Source organism: Homo sapiens, chromosome 2 (genome assembly GCF_000001405.40).
Source record: "Homo sapiens chromosome 2, GRCh38.p14 Primary Assembly".
NCBI lineage: Eukaryota > Metazoa > Chordata > Mammalia > Primates > Hominidae > Homo > Homo sapiens.
The window spans coordinates 32092398-32114284 of record NC_000002.12 but is presented as its reverse complement, the minus strand read 5'-3'; the positions used below and the strand labels follow the sequence as shown (position 1 = coordinate 32114284).

Sequence of the window (21887 nt, the reverse complement as noted above, 5' to 3'; positions counted from 1 at the left end):
TTGTGCACCACCAGACCGGACTAATTAAAAATTTTTTTTATAGAAACAGGGTCTCACTCACTATGTTGCCTAGGCTGGTCTCGAACTCCTGGGCTCAGGCAATCCTCCCACCTTGGCCTCCCAAAGTGCTGGGATTACAAGAGTGAGCCATTGTGCCTGTCCCTATTCTAATTTTCTTATTAAAAACAGTATTTGTGCCTGTAATCCCAGCTACCTGGGAGGCTGAGGCAGGAGAATTGCTTGAACCACGGAGTCAGAGGTTGAAGTGAGCCGAGATCGTGCCACTGCACTCCAGCCTGGCGACAGAGAGAGATTCCATCTCAAATAAAAAAAAAAACAAAAAAACAAAAAACAGTATTTTTAAGAAGAAACTACTTCATTTTGGGGAACAGAAAGACAATATAAAAAGGTTATGAAGCGCCGGGCGCGATGGCTCACACCTGTAATCCCAGCACTTTGGGAGATCGAGGTGGACGGATCACCTGATGTCAGTAGTTCAAGACCAGGCTGGCCAACATGGTGAAACCTCGTCTCTGCTAAAAATACAAAAAATCAGTCAGACGTGGTGGTGGGGGCCTATAATCCCAGCTACTTCGGAGGCTGAGGCAGGAGAATCACTTGAACTCAGGAGGCGGAGGTTGCAGTAAGCCGAGATTGCACTACTGCACTCCAGCCTGGGTGACAGAGTGAAACTCTGTCTCAAAAAAAAAAAAAAAAAAAAAAAGTTATGAAGCAAATAAAGCTCTCAAATAAGAAACAAAATATAGTAAAGGCATTAGGGATAGGATGTACAGAGGAAAAAAAAGTAGCACTCGACTACTTTGATTCCAAACTATTATAACTATAAACACTATGAAAGTCTGTTCCCACCAAGAGGGTCTTAAAAACTAATCAATTTTAGGCCGGGTGCAGTAGCTCACGCCTGTAATCCCAGCATTTTGGGAGGCTGAGGCGGGCAGATCACCTGAGGTATGGAGTTCAAGACCAGCCTGGCCAACATGGTGAAACCCCATCTCCACTAAAAATACAAAAATAGCTGGGCGTGGTGGCACATCCCTGTAGTTCCAGCTACCCGATTGCAGTGAGCCCTGATCACACCACTGCAATCCAGCCTGGGTGACTGAGAGGGACTCTGTCTCAAAAAAAAAATAATAATAATAATCAATTTTAATTGAAAGAGTATAAAGATGTGCTTTTACATATGCTAAGTATTATATGGGCTGTATATATGCAAATGAACATTTATAGAACACCTCTGATTAAGTTGAAAAGGTTATTTGTCCAGTGTTGCTGTACTATATATATTACAGGTTTGTAAATGTTTAAATCTCACCACTCCTAAATAATATTTTTACATACTACGCAACAAACATCAGTGTTTATTTACAATGTTTACTGTGAAGACAAATGTTAAGTCAGTCAGCAAATTAGAGTGGCCAAAAAAAAAGACAAAAGCCTCAATTTTACTTTTGTAATCAAATCTCTTAATACGGTTTAAGAAAACTAAAGACTCTAAACTAGTATAGGAAATCAGCTTATTTATTTAGACAACCAGTTTACTTTTACTACAAGTTAACTATTATAAAATCAGGAAGTATAAATAAAATTCAAGTTAAAAAAAAAAACAAAATCCACATTAGGCTGGGCGTGGTGGCTTACGCCTGTAATCCCAGAACTTTCGGAGGCCAAGGTGGGCGGATCACAAGGTCAGGAGTTTGAGACAAGCCTGACCAATGTGGTGAAACCCCGTCTCTACTAAAAACACAAAAATTAGCCAGGTGTGGTGGCGTGCGCCTGTAATCTCAGCTACTCAGGAGGCTGAGGCAGGAGAATTGCTTGAACCAAGGAGGCAGAGATTGCGGTGAGCCAAGATCACTCCATTGCACTCCAGCCTGGGCAACAGAGTGAGACTCCGTCTTAGGAAAAAAAAAAAAAAAAGCCACATTCAGGATACCTTAAAACGAGGTTCTAGAATAAATAAGACCTACTACTTGATAGAGCAACAGGGCATCAATAGTCAATAATAACTTAAGGCCAGACGCAGTGGTTCATGCCTGTAATCCTAGCGCTTTGGGAGGCCAAAGCAGGTGGTCCATCTGAGGTCAGGAGTTTAAGATCAGCCTGGCCAACATGGTGAAACCCCATCTCCACTCAAAATACAAAAATTAGCCAGGCATGGTGGTGTGTGCCTGTAATCCCAGCTACTCAGGAGGCTGAGGCAGGAGAATCACTTGAACCCGGGAGATGGAGGCTCCATCTAAAAAAAAAAAAACTACTACTACTACTACTACTACTACTACTACTACTACTACTAACTTAATTATACATTTTTAAATAAATAAAAATATGTATATATATTAAAAATATATAGTTCTGAGACTTTATATATAGACATTTCCACAAGGAACAAGTATGAGAATGACAGCAGACTCTCTATCAGAAGTAACAAATGTTTGTTGGAAATGAGGTATGTCCAAAATGTTGAGGTGAGAAAAGTGACCTGTCACATTAAAATGAGGGTATTTCAGACACTGGAAAGACTAAGAGTTTAACCACAGATATTCACTAAAAGAACTACTAAAGGAGGTCTTCTAGTTAAAAAGCAAATTAAACAGAGAAAAGAGTATATACCTATAATATAAAGTTAGAGAACAAAAAAAAAGATCAGAAAACCTGTGGGGAAGAAAAACTCAAAAGGGAAAAAATATCATTAATATATAATACGTGGCTTTGGGGTAAACAATATTTTGCTAAATCATAAAAATCTTAGCTATGGTTTTTTGATATTACTAAAAATAACTATATGTATATGTAACTATATATACTCTATATACTATACAGTATACTATATATATACTCTATACACTATACAGTATACTATATATATACTCTATACGCTATACAGTATACTATATATACGCTATACACACTATACAGTATACTGTATATATACGCTATACACACTATACAGTATACTGTATATATACGCTATACACACTATATAGTATACTGTATATATACGCTATACACACTATATAGTATACTGTATATATACGCTATACACACTATATAGTATACTGTATATATACTCTATACACACTATATAGTATACTGTATATATACTCTATACACACTATATAGTATACTGTATATATACTCTATACACACTATATAGTATACTGTATATATACTCTATACACACGATATAGTATACTGTATATATACTCTATACACACGATATAGTATACTGTATATATACTCTATACACACGATATAGTATACTGTATATATACTCTATACACACGATATAGTATACTGTATATATACTCTATACACACGATATAGTATACTGTATATATACTCTATACACACGATATAGTATACTGTATATATACTCTATACACACGATATAGTATACTGTATATATACTCTATATACTATATAGTATACTGTATATATACTCTATATACTATATAGTATACTATGTATACTATACTATATATAGTATACTATGTATACTATATATACTATACTATATATACTATACAGTGTACTATATGTATACTATATAGTATACTATGTACACTATATATACAGTATATATACACTATATATACTATATATACTATACTATATATACTATATATACTACATATACTATATATACACTATATAGTATATAGTGTATATACGATATATACACTATATATATACTATATATACACACTATATAGTATATATATACTATATATACACACTATATAGTATATATATACTATATATACTATATATATAGTTACATATACATATAGTTATTTTGATATAACTAAAAATAACTATAGGTATATATAACTATATATGTATAGGGACCAGGCGCGGTGGCTCACGCCTGTAATCCCAGCACTTTGGGAGGCCGAGGCGGGTGGATCACGAGGTCAGGAGTTTGAGAACAGCCTGGCCAACATGGTGAAACCCCATTTCTACTAAAGATACAAAAAATTAGCCTGGCGTGGTGCCACGTGCCTGTAATCCCAGGTACTCGGGAGACTGAAGCAGGAGAATTGCTTGAACCTGGGAAGCAGAGGTTGCGGTAAGCCAAGATAGCACCACTGCATTCCAGCCTGGGGGACAGGGCAAGACTCCATCTCCAAAAAAAAACAAAAAAAACAAAAAAAAAAAACAAAAAAAACTATATATGTATACACACATATACAAATACATATATAACTGTATACATATAGTTTATATATACATTTACAGCTATATATACATAGTTATTTTGATATAACTAATACATATATAACTATATATGTATATACATATACATATACATATGTAACTATATATGTATATGCATATACATATGTAACTATATATGTGTATGCATATACATATGTAACTATATATGTATATGCATATAGATATGTAACTATATATGTATATGCATATACATATGTAACTATATATGTATGTGTGTATACATATGTAACTATATATGTATGTGCATATACATATATAACTATATACAGATAGCTTATACATATATAGTTATATATACATATAGTTATTTTTAGTTATATCAAAACTAAACAATATATATATTAGTTATATTAATATATGAAGAGTGACAGAAGGGAATTAAGTCTTCTTTGACCATAAGGAGTCAATGATTATCAAAAACTGATAGAAAAAAAAAAGGAATCATTATAGAAGCATTGTATTTGGAAATATAGTAGAAAGTAAGAGAAAAAAATAGCAAAAAGAGTTAAAACACTGTATATGAAACCAAACTAGGGGTGAAGGTTGCTACGTGAGAGGAAAGAAACAGAAGGGGAATATTCTTTTCTTTATAAGCCTTACAGTATTTAAAAATTAAGGCCAGGCGTGGTGGCTCACACCTGTAATCCCAGCACTTTGAGAGGCCGAGGCGGGTGGATCACCTGAAGTCAGGAGTTCGAGACCAGCCTGGCCAACATGGTGAAACCCCATCTTTACTAAAAACACAAAAATAATCTGATCATGGTGGCACACACCTCTAATTCCAGCTACCGGGGAGGCTGAGACAGGAAAATCGCTTAAACCCAGGAGGCAGAGGTTGCAGTGAGCTGAAATCGTGCCACTGCACTCCAGCCTGGGCAACAGAGCAACTCAGTCTCAAAAACTAAATAAAAATTTACTGAGGTATAATCTGCAATGAATTACATCCATTTAAAGTATACCAACAGCCAGGCATGGTGGCTCAGGCCTGTAATGCCAGCACTGTGGGAGGCCAAGGCAGGTGGATCGAGGTCAGGAGATCGAGATCATCCTGGCCAACATGGTGAAACTCTGTTTCTACTAAGAATACAAAAATCAGCTGGGTATGGTGGCACGCATCTGTAGTCCCAGCTACTCAGGAGGCTGAGGCAGGAGAATGGGTTGAACCCGGGAGGCAGAGGTTGCAGTGAGCCCAGATCGCGCCACTGCACTCCACCCTGGGCGACAGAGTGAGACTCTGTCACAAAAAAAAAAAAAAAAAAAAAAAAAGCTATACCAGCCAGGCACAGTAGCTCACACCTATAATCCCAACACTCTGGGAGTCTGAGGCGGCAGAAATGATTGAGCCCAGGAGTTTGAGACCAGACTGGCCAACATGGGGAAACCCCATCTCTACAAAAAATACAAAAATTAGCTGGCACAGTGGTGCCCACCTGTAGTCCCAACTAATTTCAGCTGTACTCCAGCCTGGGAGAAAGAGTCAGACCCTATCTCAAAAAAAAATAAATATATAAATAAAGTATACAATTTGATGAGTTTGTAAAGATGTATATAACTGTGATACACCCATTAAAATCAAAGCACAAAATGTTTCCATCACAGAAAGTAAGAGAAAAAATAGCAAAAAGAGTTAAAGCATTGTATATGAAACCAAACTACGGGTGAAAGTTGCTACGTGAGAGTCATCAATTTAGTAATTTCTACAGACCTGCATTCAAAGTCACTGAATCTTTCTTTTGCTATCTCTAATCTGCTGTTGAGGCTGTTGTCTGTAAATTTTTAATTTCAGTAACTACACTTTTCAACTTTAGAATATTATTTTTATTGTCTAGTTTATATCATCTACTTAGATTTCCTGTTTAACTGATACCATATTTTCTTTCAATTCTTTAAACATATTATAATAGCTGCTTTGAAGTCTTTGTCTGCTAAATCCAATATCTGGGCCCACTCACAGTTTCTACTGATTGCTTTTTTTTCTTGAGTAAGGGTTATACTTTACTTTTTCTTTGCCTGTCTAGTAATTTTGAGTAGAAAATTGGACAATGTATAATAGATAACACATTGTAGTAATAAGCAGACTTTGGTATGACTATTTCCCAAGAGAGGTGAAAGAACTCATCCAAGTAAAACATCACAGAATGTTCCAGAAGTGAGTGACACTAATAAACTACTAATAGGTCTGAGTGATCTACTTGGACTCACTGTGTATTAAACATCAATGCTGTGTAAATTAGCTATAAAGCCAATATGCCCTTCCAACCAGAAAACAGAAAAGAAAAGATTATGGGTTGAGTATCCCTTATGCGAAATGCTTGGGACCAGAACTGCTTAGGGTTTTTACATTTTTTTGCATTTTGCAATGTTTACATTATACTTACTGGTTCAGCATCCTTAACCCAAAAATCCAAAATGCAAAATACTCCAGTATTTCCTTTGAGCATCATGTCAGCGCTCAAAAAGTTTTGGATATTTGGCTAGGCACAGTGGCTCATGACTGTAATCCCAACACTTTGGGAGGCCAGGGCAGGTGGATCACTTAAGGTCAGGAGTCTCAGACTAGCTTGACCAACATGGTGAAACCTCATCTCTACTAAAAATACAAAAAATTAGTTGGGTGTGGTGGCAGGTGCCTGTAGTCCCAGCTACTTGGGAGGATGAAGTGGGAGAATCGCTTGAACCCACAGGGATGGGGTTAGGGGAGGCTGCGGAGGTTGCAGTGAGCCAAGATTGCGCCACCGCACTCCAGCCTGAGTGACAGAGGAAGACTTCATCTCAAAAAAAAAAGAGTCGAATTTTAGAGCATTTTGGATTTCAGATTTCATATTAGGGATATTCAACTTGTACTAGGGATATGAAATAAGACAAAGTTCAATTTTTTCAAACAGGTTGCAGGAAGAGAACATTGCTTTGGAGGGTGGAGTGGGGAATGCAGCAGGAAAACATGATGGGGTCTAGCATGTGAAATGAAATAAAAGAGAATCAAGATAACAAGGAAAGGAAAGACAGACCAACTCTTCAGGGCTGGAGAATTTTTGCTATTTATCCTAGTAGAATTACTGGGATCTCAAATACATATTTTAGAAACTTAACTATTTATATGTGATGGACTCTTACATTTCTTTGTTTTTTTTTTTTCAGTAAGTGCCTTCTGAAAATGTCAGCCCTTCACAGCCACGCTAAAAGAAACAGGCAAAATACTTATATCGATACTTGAAACAGCATTTTAAATCAGACAGAGGAAGGAATGGGAAGAGGGAAACTGCCACTGACTATACTGTAAGACCAAACCAACATAAGAAGTCCTTAGGGGAGATGTGAAGCCACAAGGGAAAGAGTTGATGACCAACTGTTTCTTCTGTCTATAGAAATCCTTTTACTCTATCTCTTCTCCACTAAAACCTTAGAAGTTTTGTATTACATATGAATGAAGAAGGCAGGGTTCCAAGATGGCCAAATAGGAACAGCTCCAGTCTGCAGCTCCCAGTGTGAGCGACACAGAAGACAGCTGATTTCTGCATTTCCAACTGAGGAACTGGGTTCATCTCACTGGGGATTGTCAGACAGTGGGTGCAGCCCACATAGTGTGAGCTGAAGGGCGGGGTATTGCCTCACCTGGGAAGCGCAAGGGGTTGGGGAATTCCCTCTCCTAGCCAAGGGAAGCCGTGACATATGGTACCTGGAAAATAGGGAGACTCCCACCCTAATACTGGGCTTTTCCAATGGTCTTAGCAAACGGCACACCAGGAGATTATATCCCATGCCTGGCTCAGAGGGTCCCATGCCAACGGAACCTCGCTCACTGCTAGCACAGCAGTCTGAGATCGAACTGCAAGGCGGCAAAGAGGCTGGAGGCGGGGGCATCTGCCATTGCTGAGGCTTGAGTGGGTAAACAAAGCAGCTAGGAAGCTTGAACTGGGTGGAGTCCACCACAGCTCAAGGAGGCCTGACTGCCTCTGTAGACTCCACCTCTGGGGACATGGGATAGCTGAACAAAAGGCAGCAGTAACTTCTACAGACTTAAAGGTCCCTGTCTGACAGCTCTAAAGAGAGTAGTAGTTCTCCCAGCATGGAGTTTGAGATCGGCGAACGGACAGACTGCCTCCTCAAGTGGGTCCCTGATCCCCAAGTAGCCTAACTGGGAGACACCTCCCCATACGGGCTGACTGACGCCTCATATACCTGGGTACCCCTGTCAGACGAAGGTTCCAGAGGAAGGATCAGACAGCAACATTTGTCGTTCTGCAACATTTGCTGTTCTGCAGCCTCCGCTGGTGATACCCAGGCAAACAGGGTCTGGAGTGGACCTCCAGCAAACTCCAACAGACCTGCAGCTGAGGGTCCTGAGTGTTAGAAGGAAAATTAACAAACAGAAAGGACATCCACACCAAAACCCCATCTGTACGTCACCATCATCAAAGACCAAAGGTAGATAAAGCCACAAAGATGGGGAGAAACCAGAGCAGAAAAGCTGAAAATTCTAAAATTCAGAGCGCCTCTTCTCCTCCAAAGGAACACAGCTCCTCACCAGCAACGGAACAAAGCTAGACAGAGAAAGACTTTGACAAGCTGACAGAAGTAGGCCTCAGACGATGGGTAATAACAAAGTTCTCCGAGCTAAAGGAGGATGTTCGAAACCATTGCAAAGAAGCTAAAAACCTTGAAAAAAGATTAGACAAATGGCTAACTAGAATAAACAGCATGGAGAAGACCTTAAATGGCCTGATGGAGCTGAAAACCATGGCACGAAAACTACGTGATGCATGCATGAGCTTCAGTAGCCGATTCGATCAAGTGGAAGAAAGGGTATCAGTGATTGAAGATCAAATGAATGAAATGAAGCCAGAAGAGAAGTTTAGAGAAAAAAGAGTAAAAGGAAACGAACAGAACCTCCAAGAAATATAGGACTATGTGAAAAGACCAAATCTATGTCTGACGGGTGTACCTGAAAGTGACGGGGAGAATGGAACCAAGTTGGAAAACACTCTGCAGGATATTATCCAGGAGAAGTTCCCCAACCTAGCAAGGCAGGCCAACATTCAAATTCAGGAAATACAGAGAATGCCACAAAGATACTACTCAAGAAGAGCAACTCCAAGACACATAATTGTCAGATTCACCAAAGTTGAAATGTAGGAAAAAATGTTAAGGGCAGCCAGAGAGAAAGGTCGGGTTACCCACAAAGGGAAGCCCATCAGACTAACAGCTGATCTCTTGGCAGAAACTCTAAAAACCAGAAGAGAGTGGGGGCCAATATTCAACATTCTTAAAGGAAAGAATTTTCAACCCAGAGTTTCATATCCAGCCAAACTAAGCTTCATAAGTGAAGGAGAAATAAAATCCTTTAAAGACAAGCAAATGCTGACAGATTTTGTAACTACCAGGCCTGCCTTACAGGAGCTCCTGAAGGAAGCACTGAACATGGAAATGAACAACCGGTACAAGCCACTGCAAAAACATGCCAAATTGTAAAGACCATCGAGGCTAGGAAGAAACTGCATCAACTAACGAGCAAAATAACCAGCTAACATCATAATGACAGGATCAAATTCAAACATAACAATATTAACCTTAAATGGAAATGGGCTAAATGCTCCAATTAAAAGACACAGACTGGCAAATTGGATAACGAGTCAAGACCCATCAGTGTGCTGTATTCAGGAAACCCATCTCACGTGCAGAGACACACATAGGCTCAAAATAAAGGGATGGAGGAAGATCTACCAAGCAAATGGAAAACAAAAAAAGCAGGGTTTGCAATCCAACTCTCTGATAAAACAGACTTTAAACCAACAAAGATCAAAAGAGACAAAGAAGGCCATCATATAATGCTAAAGGGATCAATTCAACAAGAAGAGCTAACTATCCTAAATATATATGCACCCAATACAGGAGCACCCAGATTCATAAAGCAAGTCCCTAGAGACCTACAAAGAGACTTAGACTCCCACACAATAATACTGGGAGACTTCAACACCCCACTGTCAATATTAGACAGATCAACAAGACAGATCCAGGAACTGAACTCAGCTCTGCACCAAGTGGACCTAATAGACATCTACAGAACTCTAAACCCCAAATCAACAGAATATACATTCTTCTCAGCACCACACCACACCTATTCCAAAATTGACCACATAGTTGGAACTAAAGCACTCCTCAGCAAATGTAAAAGAACAGAAATTACAACAAACTGTCTCTCAGGCCACAGTGCAATCAAACTAGAACTCAGGATTAAGAAACTCACGCAAAACCACACAACTACATGGAAACTGAACAACCTGCTCCTGAATGACTACTGGGTATATAAGAAAATGAAGGCAGAAATAAAGATGTTCTTTGAAACCAACGAGAACAAAGACACAACATATCAGAATCTTTGGGACACATTTAAAGTAGTGTGTAGAGGGAAATTTATAGCACTAAATGCCCACAAGAGAAAACAGGAAAGATCTAAAATTGACACCCTAACATCACCATTAAAAGAACTAGAGAAGCAAGAGCAAACACCTTCAAAAGCTAGCAGAAGGCAAGAAATAACTAAGATCAGAGCAGAAATGAAGGAGATAGAGACACAAAAAACCTTTCAAAAAATCAATGAATCCAGGAGCTGGTTTTTTGAAAAGATCAACAAAACTGATAGACTGCTACCAAGACTAATAAAGAAGAAAAGAGAGAAGAATCAAATAGATGCAATAAGAAATGATAAAGGGGATATCACCACCGATTCCACAGAAATGCAAACTACCATCAGAGAATACTATAAACACCTCTACTCAAATAAACTAGAAAATCTAGAAGAAATGGATAAATCCCTGGACACATACAGCCTCCCAAGGCTAAACCAGGAAGAAGCTGAATCCCTGAATAGACCAATAACAGGCTCTGAAATTGAGGCAATAATTAATAGCCTACTAACCAAAAAAAGTCCAGGACCAGATGGATTCACAGCTGAATTCTACCAGAGGTACAAAGAGGAGCTGGTACCATTCCTTCTGAAATGATTCCAATCAATAGAAAAAGAGGGAATCCTCCCTAACTCATTTTATGAGGCCAGCATCATCCTGATACCAAAGCCTGGCAGAGACACAACAAAGAGAATTTTAGACCAATATCCCTGATGAACATCAACGCAAAAATCCTCAATAAAATACTGGCAAACCGAATCCAGCAGCACATCAAAAAGCTTATCCAACGCAATCAAGTTGGCTTCATCCCTGGGATGCAAGGCTGGTTCAACATATGCAAATCAATAAACGTAATCCATCATATAAACAGAACCAAAGACAAAAACCACATGATTATCTCAATAGATGCAGAAAAGGCCTTTGACAAAATTCAACAGCCCTTCATGCTAAAAACTCTCAATAAACTAGGTATTGATGGGATGTATCTCAAAATAATAAGAGCTATTTATGACAAACCCACAGCCAATATCATACTGAATGGGCAAAAACTGGAAGCATTCCCTTTGAAAGCTAGCACAAGACAGGGATGCCCTCTCTCACCACTCCTGTTCAACATAGTGTTGGAAGTTCTGGCCAGGGCAATCAGGCAGGAGAAAGAAATAAAGGGTATCCAATTAGGAAAAGAAAGTCAAATTGTCCCTGTTTGGAGATGACATGATTGTATATTTAGAAAACCCCATCATCTCAGCCCAAAATCTCCTTAAGCTGATAAGCAACTTCAGCAAAGTCTCAGGATACAAAATCAATGTGCAAAAATCACAAGCATTCCTATACACCAATAACAGACAAACAGCCAAATCATGAGTGAACTCCCATTCACAATTGCTTCAAAGAGAATAAAATACCTAGGAATCCAACTTACAAGGGATGTGAAGGACCTCTTCAAGGAGAACTACAAACCACTGCTCAATGAAATAAAAGAGGACACAGACAAATGGAAGAACATTCCATGCTTATGGATAGGAAGAATCAATATCATGAAAATGGCCACACTGCCCAAGGTAATTTATAGATTCAATGCCATCCCCATCAAGCTACAAATGACTTTCTTCACAGAATTGGAAAAAACTACTTTAAAGTTCATATGGAACCAAAAAAGAGCCTGCATTGCCAAGACAATCCTAAGCCAAAAGAACAAAGCTGGAGGCATCGTGCTACCTGACTTCAAACTATACTACGAAGGTACAGTAATCAAAACAGCATGGTACTGATACCAAAACAGAGATATAGACCAATGGAACAGAACAGAGCCCTCAGAAATAATACCACACATCTACAACCATGTGATCTTTGACAAACCTGACAAAAACAATAAATGGGGAAAGGATTTCCTATTTAATAAATGGTGCTGGGAAAACTGGCTAGCCAAACGTACAAAGCTGAAACTGGATCCCTTCCTTACACCTTATACAAAAATTAATTCAAGATGGATTAAAGACTTAAATGTTAGTTCTAAAACTATAAAAACCCTAGAAGAAAATCTAGGCAATACCATTCAGGACACTGGCATGGGCACTGGCATGGGCAAGGACTTCATGCCTAAAACACCAAAAGCAATGGCAACAAAAGCCAAAATTGACAAATGGGATCTAATTAAACTAAAGAGTTTCTGCACAGCAAAAGAAACTACCATCAGAGTGAACAGGCAACCTATAGAATGGGAGAAAATTTTTGCAATCTACCCATCTGACAAAGGGCTGATATCCAGAATCTACAAAGAACTTAAAAAAATTTACAAGAAAAAAATCAAACAACCCCATCAAAAAGTGGGCAAAGTATATGAACAGATGCTTCTCAAAAGAAGACATTTATGCAGCCAAAAGACACATGAAAAAATGCTCATCATCACTGGCCATCAGAGAAATGCAAATCAAAACCACAATGAGATACCGTCTCACACCAGTTAGAATGGCGATCATTAAAAACTCAGGAAACAACAGGTGCTGGAGAGGATGTGGAGAAACAGGAACACTTTTACACTGTTGATGGGAACGTAAACTAGTTCAACCATTGTGGAAGACAGTGTGGCGATTCCTCAAGGATCTAGAACTAGAAATACCATTTGACCCAGCCATCCCATTACTGGGTATATACCCAAAGGATTATAAATCATGCTGCTATAAAGACACATGCACATGTATGTTTACTGTGGCACTATTCACAATAGCAAAGACTTGGAATCAATGCAAATGTCCATCAATGATAGACTGGACTAAGAAAATATGGCACATATACACCATGGAATACTAAGCAGCCATCAAAAAGGATGAGTTCATGTCCTTTGTAGGGACATGGATGAAGCTGGAAACCATCATTCTGAGCAAACTATCGCAAGGACAGAAAACCAAACACCGTATGTTCTCACTCACAGATGGGAACTGAACAATGAGAACACTTGGACACAGGGTGGGGAACATCACACAATGGGGCCTGTCGTGGGGTGAGGGGAGAGGGGAGGGGTAGCATTAGGAGATATACCTAATGTAAATGACAAGTTAATGGGTGCGGCACACCAACATGGCACTTGTATACATATGTAACAAACCTGCATGTTGTGCACATGCACCCTAGAACGTAAAGTGTAATTAAAAATATATATATAATTATTATGCCAAAAGAAAAAGAAGGCAGTTGTTTTATAGCCTAACCTAAGGTTGTTCTGGTATAATTTGAAAAAAGTAATATTAAATATAATTTGAGCCCTGCACATGAAACTATTGCTAAAAAAAAAAAAAAAAAGTAACCAATAAAACTAGCTGGACCGTCAAAAACAAAGATATGAAAAAATGCTCAACATCGTTAATTATGAGGGAAATGCAAATCAAAACCACAACAAGGTATCTTACCCCAGTTAGGATGGCTATTATCAAAAAGACAAAAAAAGTACCAAATGCTGGTGAGGATGTGTAGAAAGTGAACTCTTATACGCTACTTTTGGGAATCTAAACTAGTACAGCTACTATGGAGAAGAGTATGGAGGTTCCTCAAAAACTACAAACAGAACTACCATATGACCCACCAATCCCACTATTGGGAATTTATCCAAAGGAAAGAAAATCATCATATCGAACAGACATCTACACCCCATGTTTACTGCAGCACTATTCACAACAGCCAAGATACAGAATCAACCTAGGTGTCCAAGAACAGACGAATGAATAAAGAAAATGTGGTATATATACACACAGAATATTATTTTTAAAAAGTTAATCTCATAGAAATAAAAAGTAGAACAGAGGATACTAGAGGCTGAAAAGGGTAGGGAAAGGATACAAAGGTATAGCTAGATAGAAAGAGTAAGCTCCATTGTTCTACATCACTGCAGGATGATTATAGGTAACAATATAATATATTATATCATTTCAAATGCTAGAAGGAAAATACTGAATGTTTCCAACACAAGGAATGATAAATGTTTGGGATGATGGAAATGATAATTACCTTGATCTAATCACCATATACTATATGTATCAAAACATCACTGTGTACCCCATGAACAGGTACATTATCTGTCAACTAAAAAAAAAGTTTTAATTAAACAAAAAGCTAGCTCAGATGTCAGAGAACCTAAGAAATGGAGAGTCCCCTACCCAAAGAAAACAAAACAGAAAGACATTTAATCTTCTGTAGAAGTTGATATCCAAAAGTTTATGAAGGATAGAGTTAATCCATAGCAAATAATACTGTAATGTTTCTCCTCACTATGTGAAGTTTCAAATTTCTTCTATCAAGTACTATAAGACATTCACATATACTATAAATGAAAATTGATATGCAATAAAAATTGATACATAAAAAATTAAAATGTGTCTTAGAAAACACTATTTCATGAAAAAAATCAGTATAGCTATCCATATAAAAACACAAAAGCCACAACAGAAAAAAAGATTATTTTAATCACTTACGGGAATGTATACCTTCATATTTTATAATCTGAAAAACCAGAGGTTGCAAAATATGCAAATAAAGCAAGTTTAGAATGACTATACCTGACTTGTTGCATGTTTATATACTATGATGATAAAGGTACTATATTTTCAACACAGCCCTGTGAAAACATGAACAATTAAACCTACCATTATAAAATCAAATCAACATTATCAGGTTAAGTAAGACTCTTACTTTGCATGCAAGCTTTATTATTTTATGTTAGTTAACCTAAACCCACCTGACTGGAGATGTCCATTGCGGCATGCCAAGTTAGTACTGTCATTATAGACGTCCGTTTGTGACTTGGAAAATGGCAAAACTGGTTGCATCTTCTCTATGCAACAGAGAAGGTAAAAAACAGAAAAAATAAACAAAAAGAAAAAAGATAATGAACAAATAAAATGTGCATGTGAAATGACAAATTACTCAAGGTGTTACCAGATTGTTACATGATAAAAAGTTTTTGCATTTATATAAAATTATCTTTTAAAATATAATTAGTAAAAATGAAGTCACGAAAATAACAGAAATTAACAAGTGAATGGCTATGTTAAAAATAGGCCTTATTCAGGTTAGGTAACCTGAGGTAGTTAGATATCACTATCATCACCAGAAAATATTTACTGAATATCTAATACGTCCAAAACAAATACCATGGAGATAATTATCGGTCTTGGTCTTGCTCTGTCACCCAGGCTGAAGTACAGTGGCACCATCATGGCTCACTGTGGCCTCAACTCCCTGAGCTCAAGTTATCCTTCTGCCTCAGTCTCCTGAGTAGTTGACACTACATACAGACACCACTATGCCCAGCTAATTTATTTTTTGTAGAGACGGGGTCTCAATATGTTCCACAGGCTGGGCTCAAGCTCCTGGCCTTAAGCGATCCTCCCGCCTTAGCCTCCCAAAGTGCAGGGATTACAGACATGAGCCACAGTTCCTGGCACTACGGAGATTAAAAAATGAATCAATTTCTACCATTTAGGTATTTATTAAATATAATTAGCAACTTATAATAAAACTGTAGATTTTTTAAAAGACTGCATGGTACAAAAGAAAGATCACTGAAAAAGCTTTACAGAGCAAGTGGGCTATGAACTGGCTAGAATTTGAAAAGATTAAAAGAAAGGACAGCCAGGCGCAGTGGCTCACGTCTGTAATCCCAGCACTTTGGGAGGCTGAGGCAGGCAGATCAGGAGGTCAGGAGATTGAGGCGATCCTGGCTAACACAGTGAAACCCTGTCTCTACTAAAACAAACAAACAAAAAAGTATCCGGGCGTGGTGGCACGCGCCTGTAGTCCCAACTACTCGGGAAGCTGAGGCAGGGGAATGGCTTAAACCGGGGAGGTGGAGGTTGCAGTGAGCTGAGATTGTGCCACTGCACTCCAGCCTGGGTGACAGAGCGAGACTCTGTCTCAAAAAAAAAAAAAGAAAAGAAAAAAAAAAAGGACATTTCAGGGAAGGAGAACAGCATTTAAAGTAGCACAGAATGAAACTATAAGGATTGTCTGGGAAATGCCCTATTTGGCCACATTAACATATGTCAGGCAGAAAATAAAAGCAATAAAGCAAAGTCAAATAAGCATACTGCAGTAACTGTATATATATACAATACCCTACCATTTGTGTAAACATACATGTGCACAGTTGCATACAAAAAGATTACCTCTAAAAAGGACCCAGAGAAACTGATAATAACAGCCGCCTCTAGGGAGGGGAAATGGGTAGCCAGGGCATAGAATGGGATGGATGCTTTTCACACTCAAACTTGTTAAAATTTTGTGACATACGTCTACATTACCTATTTTTTATATTAATCAATTAAAAGGGAGTATTTCAACCTTACCCCCACATCAAATAACAACAAAAACCCCTCCCAAGATCTGGGTCTCTTAAGTCTAGCAACTGAAGCCCAAGAAGGTAGCAGTTTGATCCCTGACACTCTAAACTACTGCTGCACTCTCTTCCCCAAGTGGAGTATTGTGCTGAATCATAATTGATTCTTTTCTTCTGTACCAGCAAGTCAATGAATACATAAAAAATGCAGCACCTATATATTAACTCTCTTAAACTTTCATTTCTAAAGTTTGACAAACAGGTACCATGCTTGGTTTACGGTACAACCACACATGCCTTTGGGACAGGTCAAATAGCAGCTACCCTTTTTGGCACAAAACACAAAGTACTGCATGGCTTTTGTATCCTAGAACTGGCTGATACAATATACCTTGGAGGTTTTTTTTTTTTTGAGCTAACAGGTTGGTCATCTGATTTTTCTCAATGATAAACTCTTTAAATGACCATGCTGAGACAGAAACCCTTTGTCTCAGTAAAAGCATAAATCAAAAAATACACTGATTTGTAAATGTAGACATCCGTACATAAATGTGAATTAATACTCCCCTCAATGAAATTTTAACAAAAAGTTAACAGAACCATTCATTATGTAATAAAAAGAAAGAAATTATATTCTTAGTTTTTATAGCTAGGAATAAAAAGCTATAGGATTTCTTTTCGTGTACACAGAATTCAGATTTATATGTGTAGAAACAGACACATACAGTGTAACAGTACATTGCTTCTGTGAACCTGCTCCAATTCATTTTTTTTTTCTTGGAGGAGGAGTCATAGACACATACAGTATAACAGTAAACAGCATCTGTGAAACTGCTCCAATATTTTTTCTTTTTTTTGGAGACGGAGTCTCACTCTGTCGCCCAGGCTGGAGCGCAGTGGTGCGACCTCAGCTCATTGCAACCTCTGCCTTATGGGTTCAAGAGAGTCTCCTGCCTCAGCCTCCCGAATAGCTGGGATTACAGGTGGGTGCCCCCATGCCCAGCTAATTTTTGTAATTTTAGTAGATACAAGGTTTTGCCATGTTGGCCAGACTTGTCTCAAACTCCTGACCTCAGGTGATCTGCCCGCCTCGGCCTCCCAAAGTACTGGGATTACAGGCGTGAGCCACCGCGCCCAGACCCAATTCACTTCTGTTAAAGGACTAATGTTTCTTTTTGGAATGACTAGGATTGTACAGATTAATCAATGATTTAAATTAAAGCAGTAACTTTGCTGCTTTACCTCCTCACATCCAACCCCCACAGTCATCTGAGTGATCTACTGGAGAGGAAAACCTTACCATATAACACTCTTCTACTTAAAACCCTTTAGTGGCTTCCCATTGCCCACAGATAAGAGCCCAAGCTCCTTCCTATGACAAACCAGGCCATCCATGATCTGCCTATACCTCTTACGCCTCGGCAATCCCAACTTCATGTCTCAACCTGTACCCTCCCCTACTCACCATGCTTTTCTTGCCTTTGAGTATTTGTTCATGTCATCACATTTTCCTGACATATCTTTTCTCAAATTCTTTTTCTTTTCATTTTCTTTGAGACAGGGTCTCACTCTGTCACCCAGACTAGAGTGCAGTGGTGTACTCATGGCTCACTGCAGTCTCGACCTCCTGAGCTCAAGCAATCCTCCTGCCTCAGCCTCCCAAGTAAGTAGCTAGGACTACAGGTGCACATCACCACTCCTGGCTATTTTTTTTTTTTTTAAATTTAGACATGGGGTCTCAGTACGCTGTCCAGGCTGGTTTCAAACTCCTGGACTCAAGCAATACCCCCGACTCAACCTCCCAAAGTGCTAGGATTACAGGTATGAGCCACTGTGCCCAGCCCTCACATTCTTTCATAACTTTTATTCATTTATCTAAGTGTATATTTTAGGTTTCACTTCTAGGAAGCTTTCTTTTCTTTCTTTAACCAGCTTTGTCACACAAGAAAGCTTTCTTAGCACCTTTTACACCCTTGCAAAATATTTCTAATACCCATCCTGCAGTGATGACTATTTATGTGTCTGTTTCTCCTACTGTATTATGAGATCCATAAAGAGAGGACCATTTTATCCAATCTATCAGCAAATCTAGTTGTTCGACCTTCAACTATAATCATAATCCAACCACTTGTTACCATTTCTCCTGATACTACCCTGGTGCAAGCCTCTATCACTTTTCTCCTAGATTACTGTAACAGTGTCCTAATTGCTCTCCCTGGTTCTACCCTTAGAGTCTATAATGCAACATAGCAACCAGAGTGATCCTTCTAAAATTTAAGTCAGAGTATTTCATTCCTTTCCTAAAAATCTTTTTTTCTGGCTTTGAGACGGAGTCTCGCTTTGTTGCCCAGGCTGGAGGGCAGTGGCGCAACCTCGGCTCACTGCAACCTCCGCCTCCCGGGTTCAAGTGATTCTTCTGCCTCAGCCTCCCGAGTATTTGGGATTACAAGCATGGCCACCACACGCAGCTAATTTTTCTATTTTTAGTAAAGACAAGGTTTCGCCATGTTGGCCAGGCTGGTCTCGAACTCCTGACCTCAGGTGATCCACCCACCTCAGCCTCCCAAAGAGCTGGGATTATAGGCATGAGCCACTGCACTGGGCTGCTTTCTTAAAAATCTTTGTAACTGCTCCCCATTTCACAGGCGGTAAAAGCTCAAGTCCTCATGGTGGCCTTTACAGCCCTGCGTGTTGTGACAATCCCTCTCCGCATGAGTTCTCTGACTTCATCTCTACTATAATCTCCTTGCTGGAACACATTGGCCTCTTTGCTGCTTCACAAACATACCAGGTACTTTCTCTTAAGGCGTTGTATTGGCTCTTACTTCTCTGTGGACCATTATTGTCCCAGGTATCATCATGGCTAACTCATGGCAACTTCTCAAAGAGGAGACCATCCTGTTTAAAACCAAAAACCCAAACTAGGGCCACCTGTAATCCCAGCTACTCAGGAGGATGAGGCAGGATAATCGCTTGAACCCGGGAGGCAGAGGTTGCAGTGAGCCGAGATCACGCCATTGCACTCTGGCCTGGGTGATAAGGCAAGACTCCGTCTCAAAAAAAAGAAAAAAGAGGTGACATCACAAATTCCTGTCTTTCAATAACTCAGAAGGTCTGGGAGTGGATATACCTAAGACAATAAAAATGACTTGTGTACAAACGTGTATTAATAGTAACATATTTGTTTATTATGTGCTGGTTAAAAATTGGAGCTTTTCAGAGATGTGGTGCCAGATAGGTATCTAATTAGGATGGAAAATGGAGAGAATGATCCTGGGAATTCCTAATACTGACTGGTTTGAGAGGATGTAGCCTCTCTGTTAAAAATGGGAAAAGACCATCCATATTATTTATTTTTGGTTTAGTGATAGTGAACCTTAGAGCAAAGCTTAACTGTAAAACCTGCAATAGATGAAAAGATTAATTTTGATGTCGGCAAATTGGCGTATCTGGCTGTTATATATATATATATATTTTTAAGATAGCTTCATTTAACATTCATTTATTAAGTCCCTACACTGTATCAGGTATAGTGCCAAGGGTTATAAACAACTTCATTAACTTGGCAAATATTTATTCGGTAACTAGCATGTGCTAGACACTGTTGTAGGCACTTGGGATATAGACAAGGATCCCTCCTCCATAGAGTTTATATTCCAACAGGGAGAAGACAGATAGTACACAATAAACATAAAAAATAAGTTACACAGTTTATTAGAAGGTGACAAATATATGGGAAAAAAATAAGTGAAACACAGTAAGGGAGATTAGGAGTGGACAAGAGGTGGTTTGGTTTGTTTGTTTTTGTTTTGAGACAAAGTCTCACTCTGTCATCCAGGCTAGAGTGCAGTGGTGTGGTCTCTGCTTACTGCAACCTCTGCCTCCCAGGCTCGAGCAATTCTCATGCCTCAACCTCCCAAGTAGGTGAGATTAGAGGTGCCCGCCACCATGCCCGGCTATTTTTTTTTTTTTTTTTTTTTTTGAGACGGAGTCTCGCTCTGTCACCCAGGCTGGAGTGCAGTGGCGGGATCTCGGCTCACTGCAAGCTCCGCCTCCCGGGTTCACGCCATTCTCCTTCCTCAGCCTCCCAAGTAGCTGGGACTACAGGCGCCCGCCACTACGCCCGGCTAATTTTTTTGTATTTTTAGTAGAGACGGGGTTTCACTATGTTGCCCAGGCACCCAGCTGGTCTCGAACTCCTGACCTCAAGTGATCTGCTCGCCTCAGTCTCCCAAAGTGCTAGGATTACAGGTGTGAGCCACAGTGCCCGGCGTTTTTTTTTTTTTGAGACGGAGTCTCTCTCTGTCACCCAGTCTGGAGTGCAGTGGTGCCATCTTGGCTCAATGCAACCTCCATTTTCTGGGTTCAAGCCATCCTCCTGACTCAGCCTCCTGAGTAGCTGGGATTACAGGTGCGTACCACCAGCCTGGCTAATTTTTTGTATTTTTAGTAGAGATTAGGTTTCACCATGTTACCAGACTGGTCGTGAACTCCTGACCTCAGGTGATCCGCCCACCTTGGCCTCCCAAAGTGCTGGGATTATAGGTGTGAGCCACCGCGCCCAGCCGATGTCACCTTTCCCATCTACCACTCCACACTTTTAAAGATATTTCATAAATAGGTAATAGCATTTTTGAGGGTGAAAACAGACACCAACTTTAAAATATCCAAAACGTTAAATCTTTAAATGCCTAGTTTCATATTACATTACATATCTTCTTTTTGTTCTCTCCTCTACTAACACAAATAAGAAAGTACAAAGTCACATTCAAAGATGAGTCTCTAATTGATATTAATACTTCTAATGTCCTATATCATAACATCAAACAAAACATAAAAACCAACTCTTATTAATTTTGAAAGATGTTACAAAATGCTCCACAATCAAATTTATT

General features: G+C 39.1%; 1 protein-coding gene across 5 annotated transcripts in view; it reads right to left on the bottom strand.

Annotated features, from left to right (window-relative positions):
- The window catches only part of SPAST (spastin), a 94082-nt gene that overhangs the window by 43353 nt on the left and 28842 nt on the right, over window positions 1-21887 (bottom strand). For 2 of the 5 annotated variants that reach the window (NM_014946.4, NM_001363823.2), the window contains exon 4: window positions 15394-15489. The exons of the other annotated variants lie outside the window; for them this stretch is intronic. In NM_014946.4, coding sequence (NP_055761.2) covers window positions 15394-15489 — 96 coding nt within the window. The remainder of the gene's footprint in view (window positions 1-15393; window positions 15490-21887) is intronic. 5 annotated transcript variants of the gene reach the window in all.